Genomic DNA, 17,260 nt, shown 5'->3' on the forward strand with positions numbered 1-17,260 from the left:
TACCCGCTACCAGTGCCGAGCAGCCATTCCACGCAATGGGAAGCAGCAGTAGAGCTAGGCCAGCACAGCAGCCATGGACTTGAGCAAGGAAATGGGACTGGAAGAGCTGTTAACACTTCTCTATTCGCTGAGCTGCGAATGGTGGGAATGACACCCCTTGGGGCTCTGCAGTTCCTGGCATCTCTGAGTTTTCAGGTGCCACTGCGTCCCCCTCATCTGGACACTAGAGTCCACCATGGGAATCACTTGTGACATGCCTGGTACAGCTGCAAGTCCTGCCTTGAGCCCGCACCTCTGCTGGCACTTTGAGTAGCCTACCCGCCAGAGCAGCTGATGTGCCTGGCTGTGTGCTGTGGCCAGACCCCATGCTCACTCGCTCACATACCCCTTCCTGCTGTGGGCTGAGCATGCAGTCGTGGTGGTCATGGGATCTGGGCTGGGGCAGAAGCCGGGCTGGGGCAGAAGCCGAGCTGAGTGGGTACTTTGTGCAGTGAGCCTGGAGCTGAGCAAGGCCGGGGCAGGGGAGTCACTGGTCATGGAGGTCTCCAGCTGGTGAGGCCACATAAAAAAAAAAATCCTGTGTCACTATGAAATGGAAAAAATGAGCTGAGATAAAAAGTGATAGAGGAGCCTATTGGGTGGTCAATGATAGCATCTCCAAGATGACATTTAAGTTGAATTTAAAGGACTAAGAGGCTGTTGCCATGTACAGAGAATGAAGAAAGCCCATTCCAGAAAAAGGCAAGGGCATATACAAAGGCCCTGCTTTGGGACAGAGTCATCCGCAGAAACCAACTGCTGCCTTTGACTGCGTATGTGGGAAAATGGATAGAGAAAGGGGCTGGCTGGCTGCACATGGTGCCCCAGGAGGCAAGCTATAGTTCCATGGTTTGTATTCAGTGTGTTATGTCTCATTTGATTCTTCTTCAAGTGATTGGAGTATTAAAACATAAACTTGCCATTTGAGCCATAGCTACTACCTTATCACCTGGAGACTTTTATTATCTTGATAAGATCACTCAGGCATGACATGTGAACAAGGTACAGCTTGGCCTGCACTCAAAAGGAAAATCTGATGCAATCTGCACGTTAAAATAGAATTGAGCAATCAATTATTAATACGACAATGCAGACATGAAAATCTCGTTATGTAAAAAAGTAGAAATATTTATTTCTAAGATAACTTTAATAATACAGCATATTATCCATTTAACATATTTTTATAGAATTATCTTTTCCCTTAGAAAATCTTCAGAAATAAGTATGACTTTGCTGTGTAATCACTTACTGTACAATATTAATAATCCAAAAATAAATATATTTGCATGATTGCTGTACTAATGATGAAATTAGAAATTTGTGCTCACAGCTAATTTTCTTTGTCTTGTATCCCTAACACTTTGTATCCAATTTCACTTAAGCAGTGTCCGCTGGGAACACAGAGTTGTAGCACCAAAGGGAATGAGATTTAGATGTGTGTAAGGTACGTTTCATTTTCCTGGTCTCTGACACTCACTTAGCAACTGATAGCATTATTGATTATAGTGATGGCGTTGTTGATTTTAGGAGTCATTCTAAGCCCTGCAGGCCTCTGAAAAAAGGATCCTGCTTCACAAAAAAAGAATAATTTTCAAGATGTGGTGAGTTTGATCCTTTACCCTCTTGTGGAATAAGGAGCACATGGTTGGAAATCAGCATTAGCCTGAGGCTGAATCTTAGACTTAGTACCTTTTCAAGGTTTCTTATCAATTTAAGCCTGCTTGGCCTGACTTCCAGCCACACCCACCCTTGTGGGATTTCACTTCAAACTGGGCTGCAGTACCTGGTTCAGGACTTGTACCCTGTAAACCCCAGCAACTGCCATTCCTGGAAATCCTGCATTACAACAGCCCTGCCTTTGAAGAGAGAGGTTACTACAGTGTATCATCATGTTGCACAAGCACAACTGGAGTTATATAATCAGAATTCAGCTCTTTCATTTTGTCACTATTTCTTTAAATTTGTTCACATTTTATTGTTCTTAGATGAAAACTCAGACAAACCCATCCATGCCTTTTTGTGTGTCTTTTAAGCTTTAAGTCACACACAAAAAGTCACACACATGGTCATATTGTCCCTCAAGTCATGAGTTCTCAAATCAGAAATAGGAATCTAGTTCAATATATTAATCAATGGCCAGAATTTGATTCGATATCAGATCTTTTCCCCATTTTCAGGTCATGTCAGCTTTAGGCTAAAAATCTAAAATGAAAAAAAGGGGAAAGCACTGGTCTCTTTTCTATTTCTCTGCTAACTTCTTTCTATCTTCTTCTCACTCTACTTCATTTCTTGCTAGCCAGTTTCTGACTGCTCCATGAGAGACAGAAGGGCAGCACAGAGATAGGAAAATTCTATTTGGTCCAGTGCCTTTGTAATCTGGCCTCACACTCACTGGTGATGGTGCTGGTGTGTGCTTAAAGTGGACTCTCTTGAGCACCTGCATGAGCTCTTTGGTCATCCCTATGCCTGCCACCTGCCATCTAGATTATGATGTGAATAACGCCTCCTGGAATTCTGCAAGGCAGCAACCCTGCTTTGGAAGAAAGAAGTTATTATGGTGTCATTAGTACATTGAATAGGCAAAATTTGAGTTAGAATCAGAATGCAGCTCTTTTCTTCCAACTTTCATGACGTGACATGGGCAATGAGCATTTTCCTTCCCCTGGCTTCTCTCAAACTACCCTTCAGCTTTTGCTTCCCTGTTGGTCCTCCTCACTCAGACTTGGCTTTGAGGTGGTCTTACCAACTCCAGAGCGCCTTCTCTCTTGTGATTCACACCTGGGTCAAAGACAACGCTAGACATGTGTTGCCTCTGACCTGCCTGGTCAGTGTGTACATCACTTTATCCTGCTGCCTTAAGCGACTTTAGCTTGCTTGAGCTGCAGTCCATCATCCCCTTGACCACAGTGAATACCAAACAACTATCTGAAAGGTCCACTTGAAGAATCTCCTCACCAGCTTTGGGATTAGATTGTAGCAAATTCTCTTCTCCTTCCAGAAGACAGGGGAGTACAGGCAACAGCTCTCTCTATCACAGCACTGTTCAATAGAAATTCAGTGTGAGCCACACAGGTAATTTTGACTTTCTCGTAGCCACATTAAAAAGAAATGGGTAAAAATGTGTTAGTAATATATTTTATTTAATATGTCCATATATCCAAAATACTATTTCAACATGAAACCAATATATAAAAAGTATTAATGAGATAATTTATAATATTTTTACCCCATAAGTCTTTGAATCCAGAAAGTATTTTACACTTAAAGCACATCTCCATTTGGACTAGCCACATGTAGCTAGGGGGTACAATATTGGACAGTGAAGATCTATTGAAAATCTCCCCTACTCTCTCCATTTTTAAAAACAGACTTAATAAAATATTAAGACTTAATAATGCCCCTTAATAAAATACAATTTACATACTATCAAATTCTCTCATTTTGCGTGTACAATTAAGTGTTTTTTAGTAAATTTGCAGAGTTGTGCAACCTTCAATTCAATTTTAGAACATTTTGATTACCCCTCAAAAGTCCTTTGTAATCGCTGTCAGTTCCTACACCTAGATCTAGGCAACCACTAGTCTACTTTCTGTCTCTATAGATTCGTCTTTTCTGGACATTTCATATTAATAGAATTATACAATATGTGATCATTTGCTTCTTTCACTTAGCATATTTTTGAGGTTTATCCATGTTGTAGCATGTTTCAATATTTGGTTTCCTTTTATTGCCAAATAGTATTCCATTGTATGGACATACCACCATTTGCTTATCAATTTCCAGATCGATAAACATTGTAGGTGTTTCCAGTTTTTGGCTATTATGAATAATGCTGCTATGAGCATTCATGTACAAGTCTTTGGGTGGAAATATGCTCTAAATTTTCTTGGTAGATGCCTTTAAGTGGAGATGCTGAGACATATGGTAAATTGATATTTAACTTATGAAGAAACTGCCAAATTGTTTTCCAAAGTGGTTGTACCATTTCCCTTCACTTTCTGATTCCTTTTTATGTATCCTTGATTTTATAAGGATCTAAGAGCCAGGAAACCGGTCTTCCATGACTTCCTTTGAAAATTGTGCATGTGGAGTCCTGCATCTTTCATATTAGTAGTTATCAGATGGTCATATCTATAGATATCAAGTCTGCAAGAGTCCCATTTTAACATCTTCTTATAATATAGAGATTGATTCTTAGCACAAGAACCTCTTAGGAAAAGTTAAGCACTTCTTAAAAATGATCTCCTGTGACTCTTTAAAGGACACACACCTCAAAAGTATTGGAAAACAAGGTCTATGTGCACAGCATTTCTAGCATGTGGCTCTTGCAAACAATTAATTAGTAAAAGATGCACTTAGGCAGAGAATTTTCAATTTGTGTATAACAAAACAGGTGATCCTAACAGCTCTCCTACATCGTGGGAGGGGCATTATTTCTGAATAAGGGTCTCTATGAGCAGCTTGACTTTGAAAGAGACCTTGTCTCTCTCATGAGTGCATCTATGACTGCTAAATTTTAAATAAAAGGCCCCTAGATGTAGAAAGAATGGGAGGAGACACTGGACACAATTTCTTTGTAAATTAGAAAGAACTATTCTGTTGTTTCTTGTTTTTATCAGTTTAATAATCCTGTTGGGGTTTTTGAGAAAACTTGAGCCCAATGTCTTATGACTCCAGTGATTTTTCTTGGTGTTCACCGGAGGGGAATGAGAAAGACAATGTGTAGATTTAATCAGCATTTGATTTTTCCTCAATCCCTTTGCATGTAGAGAGGAGCAGCTGGTTGTAGGTAATCTTGCTCTTGGGAATTATCAAGTAAAAGAAAGAGACAAGCAGCAGCTTCTACAAAGGCAGCTTTTATGAGGCTGAGCTAGAAAATCACCAGAGAAGCAGCTGGGTTCACCATTTTCATCCAAGTAATTACTGGAAGAGATAGATGGTTTTCAAGGTCATTTGTAGAAAGGGGAACTAATGGCCAGCCCTTTCTCTGGGGGAACATTCACAAGACAGAGGATAGATGAAGATGTCAATTTTCCAGCCTGTCTGAAAGAAGCAAGAGCAGTGTTCAGAAATGAGGGCTTTTCCCATTGGGTAAGAAAGACCAGAGTTCAAACTCTGCCTCTGTTAGCGCTTAGCTGTGTGACTTTGGGCACATAGCTTAACCTCTCTAAGCCTTAGTTTTCTCATTTGCAACATGAGGACGATAATACCCATATTGTAGGTATTTTGTGAGTATGAAATGAGATACTCAGGTAGGATTTACTCCCATCTCCTTTTCAGAAACTAAGTCAACTAGTTTATCTAGAAGTCTCCATCTAACATAACCAACATCTAGGACAACAGGCGTTGTCCTTTTCTTTTGAAATCATTCCCATTAAATACATTTTGGAAATGATGTTTTCTGGTTATCACAGCCACTATAACAAATGAGACCAAAGATCTTTTAAATACCTCACCTTAAAAAATGAATCAAAATGAATAAATCACTTTTCAGAAACAAAACTCATTAAAGACATATTTTATTGCATAGCTGTTCCTTTGATCCAAACCAATTAATAAGCCATCTCAACCTATAAATGTTATTAACTAACCTTGAGCTTAGTCTTATGGTTCAAACTTGTTCTGGGGACAGGGCTGGTCTTTGCTGTGGCTGAAGTAGGGCCTCTTGATTCTCTGGGCTTCTAAGAAAGGGAGGTATAAAGCTATGTGGAGGTGGGGTTTGGTAAGGTAGTTTTTCATGCCAACCCTTGAGGGCTATTAATAGCAATACTGAGCTAAAGCTGGTTGGTTGCTATTGCAGTCCTCATAGAAAATTAAACTTTGTAATGTAAGCTTGTTATCCAGCAGTCAAGGAACTGGCTTGACGGCTGAAGTGCTTTCTTTATGTTTGGAGAGACAAGCGATAGACTGGCATATATCTGTATTTGCCAGTTACCTCAAAAGCCCTGATAATCGGTGTTTCAAAGAGTGTATTCCAAACCCAAATATATCAGAATCCCCCAGATTATTGGTAAAATGCAGATTCTTAGGCCCAAACTGTTGAATCAGTATCTGGTGTGGCCTAATAATGTGAATTTTATACAATGTTCTAAATGAGACATTCAAACTTAAAGCCAGAGGAAAAACTATTTTCGGAGTAGCCAAGAAGATCCTGTCCTATACGTAATAGCTAGGAGTTATGTTCTTCTCCATTCTCTGCACACACGTAAATTTTTCCCATATTTTTCTCGACATGTTCTATGTTAAGAGTTGAAAATCTTTAAAGCATCAAATAGCTGGGTTTAATTTTTCTATAAACAGAGAAAGCAATCTCACACATAGGGCCTTACGGCAATTTTGTTCTTGGTGGAAAGACAGAGATCTTCATAAAGTCATGCATCTGTGTCACTTGTTCCCCTTCCATCAAAGATGGCTACAGCCTCTAGCTTTATATTATTTTAAATATCAGCGGCAACAAAGGTTACATTGACAGAAGAGTTTTGGGAGACAATTCAACTCTGTTGCCATTTCTTTCTTTCAATAGTCTTTGCTGGTCTCCTTTATTTGCTTATTAAAAGCTTTCATCTTATTGCTTTTTCTCCCATTAGAGAATGATCAACATACTTTCTAACTTCTTTCCTTTTTAGGTTTAAAATAAAAGAAATCAATTTCATTACACATATAATTAATGCTCAATATTCGGACCTCAAACTCATTTGGTCTTCTTTTCCCTCTGTGGACAAGGCTAATCCCCCCTAAGGGTTTATAAATGGGCCCGGCTGCAGTTTGCAGGTGCAGTCGTTTGCTGGAGCCCAAGTCAAGATTTACATATGCAAATGAGCATGGATGTGCCCAAATTGAGTAATTGTGCATGCAAATAGGTGATTAAATAGACAATTACTAAATCTGCATGAACAAATGGGAGTTGTGCGTATTCAAAAAGCAGGGGACACCTGAACATTATGCAAACAGGCAGCTTTCCTCAAAGCCTGTGGAAATCTGGCCCCCAGGGCCTCGAAGTTGCATCAGTCCCAGAGCAAGCTGGGATCTCAAGTTGCACAAGTGGAATTTACACTTTGACCTCAGCTGCCATGGTAATGTCTAGATCTCTGACAAGGTCATCTCCAGGAAGTACATGGGAAAGGGTTTTGATTTCTGCCATTTCTTTCCATATACTAGATTTAAAGCAGAAATTTAAACTAATGATTTTAAAAATGATCAGTAGTAAGAAATAAGCTTTAGTTATTTTAGTGGGTTATAGTGTACACCCACTCCTCCAAACCAAAACTTCGAAACAGGCATAGAGAATTCAATCCAAGTTAAACAACCGTACCACAATGAATGTGACTTTATGATGCTCTTTCTCACAACTGTGCTGCCAAAAACAAGAGTGAGGCTTAATCACTCTTAGGTAGCTGTTTTTAGTTTGTCTTTGTGGGCTAGAGAAAAATACCCACTGGTTTTAATTCTTCATTTCTTCATAATTCGAAATCTCAGTTCTCTACCTACCGCCTAACATTGATAGATGGTGTTGTCAGCAGAGTACATCAATGAGAAATGATTTCACATAACCAGGGGGGCTTTTCTGACAAAAGATTAGTGGCAATGCCTAGACTAGCCTACCAAGAGCCGGAGATAAGCAGAATTTGAGACAGCCAAAGAGTGCTGATTGCTGAAATCCTCATATTTTTCAGGAAGATATTTCAGCCCTAGGATATTCTATCTTTTCCACATTCAGTTTTATATGAACCACTTCAAGTCTTTTACTTTACAAAGTAAGGAGTGATATCACTGCAGACCATAAAATCAATTACTCAATTCAATCAATAACCCAGTTAACTGGAATAATTTCTTTACTTAGCATCTGTCAGGAGGAGATTTCAAAATATTCTCACGAGGGGTCAGAAGTGAGTGGAATTAGCTGTGTCTACAGATGAAGTAGCCAAGTCTTCTATGCAGAATATTAGGCATTTCCATACATCATGCAGATATAGAAAAACATTAGCTGGTAATTATACAAGTCTGGCAAAGGAGATAATATGGAAACCGACTTCCCCAAAAGCACCCCTTCAGCATTATCTCTACACAGGTGCATTAGAAGCTAACCAAGGATTCCTCCAGAACTGTAAGTCTTGTGTATATAGTCCATTTGGCCAGAAATGCATTTAAAAGTGGAGAAATGCCTGTAATCCCAGCACTTTGGGAGGCTGAGGCGGGCGGATATGAGGTCAGGAGATCGAGACCATCCTGGTCAACATGGTGAAACCCCATCTACTAAAATAGAAAAAATTAGCCGAGTGTGGTGGTGTGCACCTGTAGGCCCAGCTACTCAGGAGGCTGAGGCAGGGGAATCACTTGAACCCGGGAGGCGGAGGTTGCAGTGAGCTGAGATCACATCACTGCACTCCAGCCTGGTGGCAGAGCAAGACTCCATCTCAAAAAAAAAAAAAAAAAAAAAGTGGAGAAACTAGCTTCACCAGCATAGTCTCAGAAGCCAAAGAAATCCATTCTCTTCCCAATTTCAAATGGAATTGTTGGTTCTTCCTTTTTCTTGAATATCTAAATAAATTTTTCACCAATTACAAAAACACCAGTGGCACAAATACTGCAACGCAATACATGTATGTATATACACTTATGTTTGCATTCATTAAAAAACAGTATATACTAACAATATAATGTCTCAGTCACAAGCTTCAGATTGCTACATGTTTGAGTGTTCAACAAAATCTACCAAATTCTAGCCTTTCAAATTACCTCCAGGGTTTTCTCCTCCCACATGATCCTTCCTGTATTTCATTGGTAGTAATGTCTCCCTCTGCCAGGCTCCCAGAGAACTTAATATACGGCCCTTTTCTTGACACTTAACAATGATGCTTTGCAATGAAGTTATTAATAATTATTTTCCCCCTTATTGTAATGTAAGATAATTGAGGGAGTTGCTGCAGTCAATATGGGAGGCAAGTAAGATTTATCCTCTATATCCAATGTCTCGGGCACCATGCCATCTTCATATGTGCTATCTTGTCCATGGTTTACAAACTTCAACTAGGTAAGTGCTATTAGCATTTTACAAATAATGAGAGGATGATTTGAGAGGTTTCATAACAGCTCAAAGCCTGCACCCTAGGTTCAAATCTCAGCCCCAACACTTGCCAGCCATGTGATCTTGGACATGCTTCTTGGCCTTTGAAAGTCTTGTTTTCTTCATTCATAAAAATGAGATAGAAATTGTGCCAATTTATTGTAGCAAGACATCTCATTATTAATGATAAGGATTAAAGGAGGCAATTCATAAGAAGTATTTAACACAATACTTGACTTATTGTCAGTGCTTCATGTTTCTGCTTATGTTGTTGGCAGTAATAGTATTGTTAGGTATTCTAATTAGCTTTTAAAGAAACTTTGTGTTCAAACATATAGATTGCACTTAGCAGTTGGCTCAGTAATTTTTTATCATTTTCTGGCAATGAATGAAGGAATGCACAAGTGAGTTCTAAGTATTTTCCTGGCACTTTGGTCACATTCCCTGGAACCTTGGGATATTTTATCTAGAGTTGCCAAAAACCTTGTTTTGTTGTGTTATAGATGCTGTCCCTATAGACTCCTCAAGTCTTCCAAAAGTGCAGAAGCCTGGAAAGCTGTTACAAATGAGAATCACTATTTACCAGACCCCTCCCAGAGAACACATGTGCATTTTGTCTTTGGTCTTCAAGAGGCTCTAACACACAGCTTCTTCCACTTTCCTCTTGATATTTGCCTTTTCCAGGTTTAAAGCAGAGGTTCTCAAAGTGTGGCATATGGAACCATAGGGATCCCACAGGCCCATTCAGGGAGTTCAGGTCAAAATGATTTTCTTCATGATACTAAAGTGGTATTTATCCTTTTCACTCCAGTGACATAAGCCCCGATGCTAAAAATAAGCAGTGGTGGGTGGAACTGCTGGTGCTTTATCTCAAATCAAGGCAGTGCCACCAAACTGTACCAGTAGTCATTGTATACCGCACCAGGCACTCACAGGGGGCAGGAAAAGCAGTTTTAAGAATGTCCTTGAGAAGAGTATACTGGGTTGATTTTATTCAATCTCTACCTTTCAGTTCACATCTTTTTAATATTTTATATGATGAAATGGTAAGTACACGTAAGGCAACTTATAAGGTGCACGCAAATGTACGATATTTGTTGGGGGAAAAGCACTTGTGTGGTTGTTTTAGTTGCAAGCTAAACTAGATACTTCCTCCATGAAATACCCTTTAATTTGAAAGAATGACTGACAGACAAACATGATTGTTCAGACTTAGGTATTTTGCAGATACTTTTCCAAAAGTGAAGTGATCCTGTCACTTCAAGGAAAATGACTGATGGTATTTGTTGCCAATTACAAAATTAAAGCTTGCAAGCAAAATTTAGAATTGTGAACAACTTGTGTCTACCACTGTGAGCTTGACAGTTTCCCAATATTTAGAAATTTTTCTTTTTTCTTTTTTTTTTTTTTTTTTCAGACGGAGTCTCGCTCTGTCGCCCAGGGCTGGAGTGCAGTGGCCTGATCTCAGCTCACTGCAAGCTCCACCTCCTGGGTTCACGCCATTCTCCCGCCTCAGCCTCCCTAGCAGCTGGGACTACAGGCGCCCGCCGCCACGCCCAGCTAATTTTTTTTGTATTTTTAGTAGAGATGGGGTTTCACCGTCTTAGCCAGGATGGTCTCGATCTCCTGATCTTGTGATCCACCCACCTCGGCCTCCCAAAGTGCTGGGATTACAGGCATGAGCCACTGAGCCCTGCTCACATTTAGAAATTTTTCTAATGAGATCGGTGGTAATATTAATGAACATACATTTTTTGAGATTGCAAAATGAAGCATGTCAACATGAAAATGGCATAACTCAGTGAACCGATATTTTCCAGATGACTGATGAGTGATGTTACAAAATTATTCATGACTAAAAGATTCATCTAAAGTGCAAGACAAGCTGATATATTTTAATGTTATAGAGTTCAAAATGTTTACTGATACAGGTTTTGAGTTCACACTGCAACCAACCTTTAAGAAACTACTAATTAGTGAGTTGTGGTATATTGTCAAAAAGAAATATCCACAATTATGTAGAAAGATTACCAAAATGCTTTTCCTCCTTCTAACTATGTATCTCTGTGAGGCTGACTTTATTTTTCATAGACTTCAACCAAAACAACATATAATAAATTTATTGCAGAAGCAGATATTTGAATCCATCTATCTTCCACTTAGCCAGATATTAATGAGATTTGCAAAAATGGAAAATACTGCCTCTCTTCACATTATACTTTTAGAAAACATAGTAATTTTTGATAAAAATATATTTATGTTATCATGTAATAGTTTTATTTTTATTTTTCAATGAATAAAGAAATATTTTAAATACTCAGTATTAATGTCGAATATATTATATATCAATAGACAACACCCATATAATTATTTTTTGAGGTCCCTAATACTTTTTTTTAATTTTATTTTTAATTTTAATAGCTTTACGGGTATAAGTTGTTTCTGGTTACATGGGTAAGTTATACAGTGGTAAAGTCTGATATTTTAGCATACCTGTCATCCGTGTAGTGTACATTGTGTCCAATATGTAGCTTTTTATTCCTCACCCTCCTCCCTGCCACCCACTTCTGAGTCTCCAAAGTCCAATATATTAATCTGCATGCCTTTTTGTACCCATATTAGATCCCACTTATAAGTGGTAATATATAGTATTTGGTCTTCCATTCCTGAATTGTGTCACTTAGAATAAATGCCTCCAGCTCCATCTAAGTTGCTGCAAAATCCATTATTTTTTCTTTTTTTATGTCTGAGTAGTATCCCATGGTGTATATATACCACATTTTCTTTATCCAGTAATCAGTTGATGGGCATTTAGGTTGGTTCATATCTTTGCAATTGTGAATTGTGCTGCAATAAACATACACATTCAGGTTTCTTTTGTATATAATGACTTCTTTTCCTTTGGGTAGATATCCAGCAGTGGGACTGCTGGATCAAATGGCAGATCTACTTTTAGTTCTTTGGGAAATCTCCATACTGTTTTCCTTAGAGGTTGTACTATTAATAATTTTTATTCCCACCAGCAGTGTATAAACAAACCCTTTGCACCACATCTATGCCATCCTTTCTTTTTTTTTTTTTTTTTTTTTTGACTTTTTAATAATGACCATTCTGGCTGGGGTAAGGTGGTATTATCTCATTATGGTTTTAATTTTCATTTCTCTGATGATTAGTGATGTTGAGCATTTTTTCGTATGTCTGTTGGCCATTTGTATATCTTCTTTTAAGGAATGTCTATTCATGTCATTTGTCTATTTTTTGATGGGATTATCTGGGTTTTTTTCTTGCTGATTAGTTTTAGTTCTTTATAGATTCCAGATATTATTTCCTTTGTTGGATGCATAGTTTGCAAATATTTTCTCCCATTCTATGGGTTGTCTGTTTTACTCTAATGATTATCTTTTCTGCTCTGCAGTAGCTTTTCAGTTTAATTAGATCCCATTTACTTATTTTTGTTTTAGTTGAATTTGCTTTTGAGGTCTTAGTCATAAATTCTTTGCCTAGGCCAATGTCCAGAAGAGCTTTTCCTAGCCTTTCTTCTGGAAGTTTTATGATTTCAGGTCTTAGATTTAAGACTTTAATCCATCTTGATTTGATTTTTGTATATGGTGAGAGATAGGGATCTAGTTTCATTCTTCTGCATGTGGCTCTCCAGTTTTCCGAGCACCATTTATTGAATAGGGTGTCCTTTCCCCAAATTTATGTTTTTGTATGCTTTGTTGAAGATCAGTTGATTGTAAGCATTTGGCTTTGGCTTTATTTCTGGGTTCTCTATTCTGTTCCACTAGTCTATGTATCTACTTTTATACCAGTACCATGCTGTTTTGGTCACTATAGCTTTGTAGTATAATTTGAAGTGAGGGAATGTGATGCCTCCAGATGTGTTCTTTTTGGTTAAGATTACTTTGGCTATTCAAGCTCTTTTTTGATTCCATGTGAATTTTAGGATTTTTTTTTCTAATTCTGTGAAAAATGATGTTAGTATTTTGATAGAAATTACATCGAGTCTGTAGATTGCTTTGGGTACTATGATCATGTTCATGATATTGATTCTTCCAATCCATAACCATGGAATGTATTCCCATTTGTTTGTGTCATCTATGATTACCTTCAGCAATGTTTTATAGCCCTCCTTATAGAGATCTTTCACCTCCTTTGTTAAATATATTCCTAGGTATTTTAATTTATTTTTGCAACTGTTATAAAAGGGATTGAATTCTTGATTTGATTCTCAGCTTGGTCGTCATTGGTATATAGCAGTGCTACAATTTTTGTACATTCATCTTGTAACCCGAGACTTTACTGAATTCATTTGTCAAATCTAGGAATCTTTTGAAGGAGTCTTTAGGGTATTCTAGGTATATGATCATATCATTGACAAACAGAGATAGTCTGACTTCCTCTTCCCCAGTTTGGATGCCCTTTCTTTCTTTCTCTTGCCTGATTACTCTGCTTAGGATTTCCAGTACTATGTTGAATAGAAGTAATGAAAGTGGGCCTCTTGTCTTCTTCCAGTTCTTAGGGGAAATAATTTCAACTTTTCCCCATTCAGTATGATGTTGGCTGTGGTTTTGTGATATATGGCTTTTATTATTTTGAGGCATGTGTCTTCTATGCCTAGTTTGTTGAGGGTTTTCATAAAAAGATACTGGATTTTATTGAATGTTTTTTTCTGCAGCTGTTGGATTCAATCTGCTGGTATTTTGTTGAGGATTTTTACATCTATGTTCATCAGGGATATTGATCTATAGTTTTCCTTTTTTGTTATGTCCTTTGCTTGCTTTGGTATCAGAGTAATACTGGCTTCATAGAATGAGTTAGGGAGGATTCCCTCTTTCTCATTATTTTGGAATAGTTTCAGTTGAATTGGTACCAATTCTTCTTTAAATGTCTGATAGAATTCAGCTGTGAGTCCATCTGGCCCTGTGCTTTTTTTTTTTTTTACTGGGAATTTTTTTTTTTGTTACTGATTCAATCTCACTGCTTGTTATTGGGCTGCTCATAATTTCTATTTCATTCAAGCTAGAAGGGCTGTATTTTTCCAGGAATTCATCCATTTCCTCTAGATTTTCTAGTTTATGTGCACAGAGGTGTTTATAGTAGTCCCAAATGGTCTTTTGTATTTCTGTGGTGTTGGTTGTAATCTCTCCATTTTCATTTCTAATTGAGCTTATTTGAATCTTCACTTCTTTTCTTGATTATTCTAGCTAATGGTCTATCAATTTATTTATCTTTTCAAAGAACAAATTTTTTTTTTCATTAATCATTTGTATTTTTAAATTTCAATTTTATTGAGTTCTCTGATATTTGTTATTTCTTTTCTTCTGCTAGCTTTGGGTTTGGTTTGATCTTGTTTCTATAATTCTTTGAAGTGTGATATAATGTGGTCAATTTGTAATCTTTTATTTTTAGACTTTTTGTTGTAGGCATTTAGCTCTATAAACTTTCTCCTTAGCACTGCTTTTGCTGTATTCCAGAGGTTTTGATAACTTGTGTCACTGTTATCTGTCATTTTGAAGACTTTTTAAATATTTTCTTGATTTCATTGTTAAAAGTCATTTAAGAACAGATTGTTTAATTTCCATGTATTTGTATAGTTTTGTAAATTCCTTTTGGACTGATTTTTAGTTTTATTCCTCTGTGATTTGAGGAAATACTTGATATGATTTTTATTTTAAAAAATGTATTGAGACTTGTTTTGTGGCCTATCATATAGTCTATCTTGGAGAATGATCCATATGTTCATGAGAAGAATGCATATTCTGCAGTTCTTGGGTAGAACTTTCTGTACATGTCTGTTAGGTCCACTTGTTTTAGAGTGCAGTTTAAGTCCAATGTTTCTTTGTTGACTTTCTGCCTCAATGATATGTCTAGTGCTGTCAGTGGAGTGTTGAAATCCCCCACTATTATTGTGTTAGTGTCTATCTATTTTCTGAGGTCTAGTAGGAATTATTTTATGAATCTGGGAGTTCAGTGCATATGTATTTTGGATTGTAATGTCTTCTGCAGAATTGATCCTTTTTTATTACATAATGATTTTCTTTACTTTTTTATTTTTTCTTCTTTTTTTTTTTAGTGTTTTTGCTTTAAAGACTGTTTTATCTGACATAATAATAGCTATTCCTACTTGCTTTTGGTTTCTATTTGCAGGGAATATCTTTTTCCACCCCTTTATCTTGAGTCTTTAAGAATCCTTATACGTGTAAGTGTGTTTCTTTAAGACAACAAATATTTGGTTTGTGATTTTTTATTTATTATGCTGACCTGTATCTTTTAAGTGGAGCATTTAGAATATTTACATTCAATATTAATATTGAGACATGAGGTACTATTCCAGTCATCACGTTGATTGTTACCTAGTTACTTTGTTTTCTTCATTGTGTTATTGTTTTACAGGTCCTGTGAGTTTAATGCTTTCAAGATGTTCTATTCTGGTGCATATCAACGTTTTGTTTCAAGATTTAGAATTCCTTTTATCATTTCTTTTTAGGGATGGTCTAATAGTGACAAATTCCCTCAGCATTTGCTTGTCTGAAAAACACTTTATTTCTCCTTTGTTGATGAAACTTAGTTTTGCTGGATACAAAATTCTTGGTGGATGGTTATTCTGTTTAACAAGGCTAAAGATAGGACCTGAATCCCTTCCAGGTGGTAAAAGGTTTCTGCTGAGAAATCTGCTGCTAGTCTTATAGGTTTTCCTTTATAGAATACATCATATTTTTGTCTCACTGTTCTTAGAGTTATTTCCTTCACATTGACTCTAGACAGCCTAATGACTATATGCCTTGGAGATATCCTTTTTGGAATAAATCTCCTGGGAGTTTTTTTTTTTTTTTTTTTTTTTTTGTTTAATGAATTTGGATGTCTAAATCTCTAGTAAGGCCAGGGGAAGTTTTCCTCAATTATTCTGTCAAATAAATTTTCCAAACTTTTTGCTTTTTCTTATTCCTCCCAAGAAACACCAGTGATTCTTAGGTTTGGCTGTTTTACATAGTCCCATATTTCTTGGATACTTTGTACACTTCTTTTAAAAATTTTTTATTTTTGTCTGATTGGATTAATTCAAAAGCCTTGTCTTTGAGCTCTGAAATTCTTTATCCTACTTGATCTAGTAAACTGTTAGAACTTGCCACTGCATTTTGTAATTCTGTAAATGTGTCTTTTACTTCCAGAAGTTCTAATTGATTTTTTTAATATCTATCTCTTTAGAACATTTTTAATTCACATCCTAAATTGTTTTTTAAATTTCTTTATGTTGGTTTTCATCTTTTTCTTGTATCTCTGTGAGTAACTTAATAAGCATCCTTTTGAATTCTTTATCTGGTATTTCAAAGTTGTCATCTCAGTTTAGTTCCATTGCTAAAGAGCTGGTGTAATCTTTTTGGGGTTTTATAGAACCCTGTTTTGTCATATTGCCAGAATTATTTTTCTGGTTTCTTCTTATTTGGGTAGACTATTTCTTTTAATTATTTTTGAATTTATTTTTGATTCAACTGTGCTTTTTAAAAATGTCCCATCCTTGAGGATGTGACTTTAATGTTTATAAATTGTTGTAACCTAATTCAGCTCTGGGTGAAGACTTTGTATGAGTTCTTTGGTTATAAAGAGCCTTTGTATGATGGCTTTTTCAGATACTGGTTGTAGTGGCAATATGTTAATGGTGTGAGTAGGTTCACTGTCTCCTATAATTTTGGAATGACAAAAGTCTCTTGAAGCTTATTTTTTTCCCAGTGGTATGTACTTTTTTATTTATTTATTTTCCCCCTACTATTTTAATCACTGGATTGAACAGTCCAGCCTTCAGGCCAGTAGGAAGTATCCACAGGTAAAAACCAGCTGTGGCTAAGGCAGGTGGGTAAGTGCAATACCCAGTGGAGGGCAGAGGTCACAGCATTGACAGAGGTAGTTGGAGGAGCTCTCAGTGAAAAACACTGAGGTCTTTTCAGGGTGAAGAGAGGGAATCACCTGAGTTCCCCTGCCAGGCCAGCAGGAAAGCAATCCACCTCTCAATCACACTCCTGACCCAGGGTTCCAGCTATTCAGATCAGACAGACACCTCTTTTCATCTGAAGGAATGCTGATGTTCCATATAGAAAAGGGTTGTCACTCTACCTCTCATGCAAACCTGAACCTGGAGAGCATTCCTCTTGTGGGGAT

This window comes from Homo sapiens, chromosome 2 (assembly GCF_000001405.40).
Source record: "Homo sapiens chromosome 2, GRCh38.p14 Primary Assembly".
NCBI lineage: Eukaryota > Metazoa > Chordata > Mammalia > Primates > Hominidae > Homo > Homo sapiens.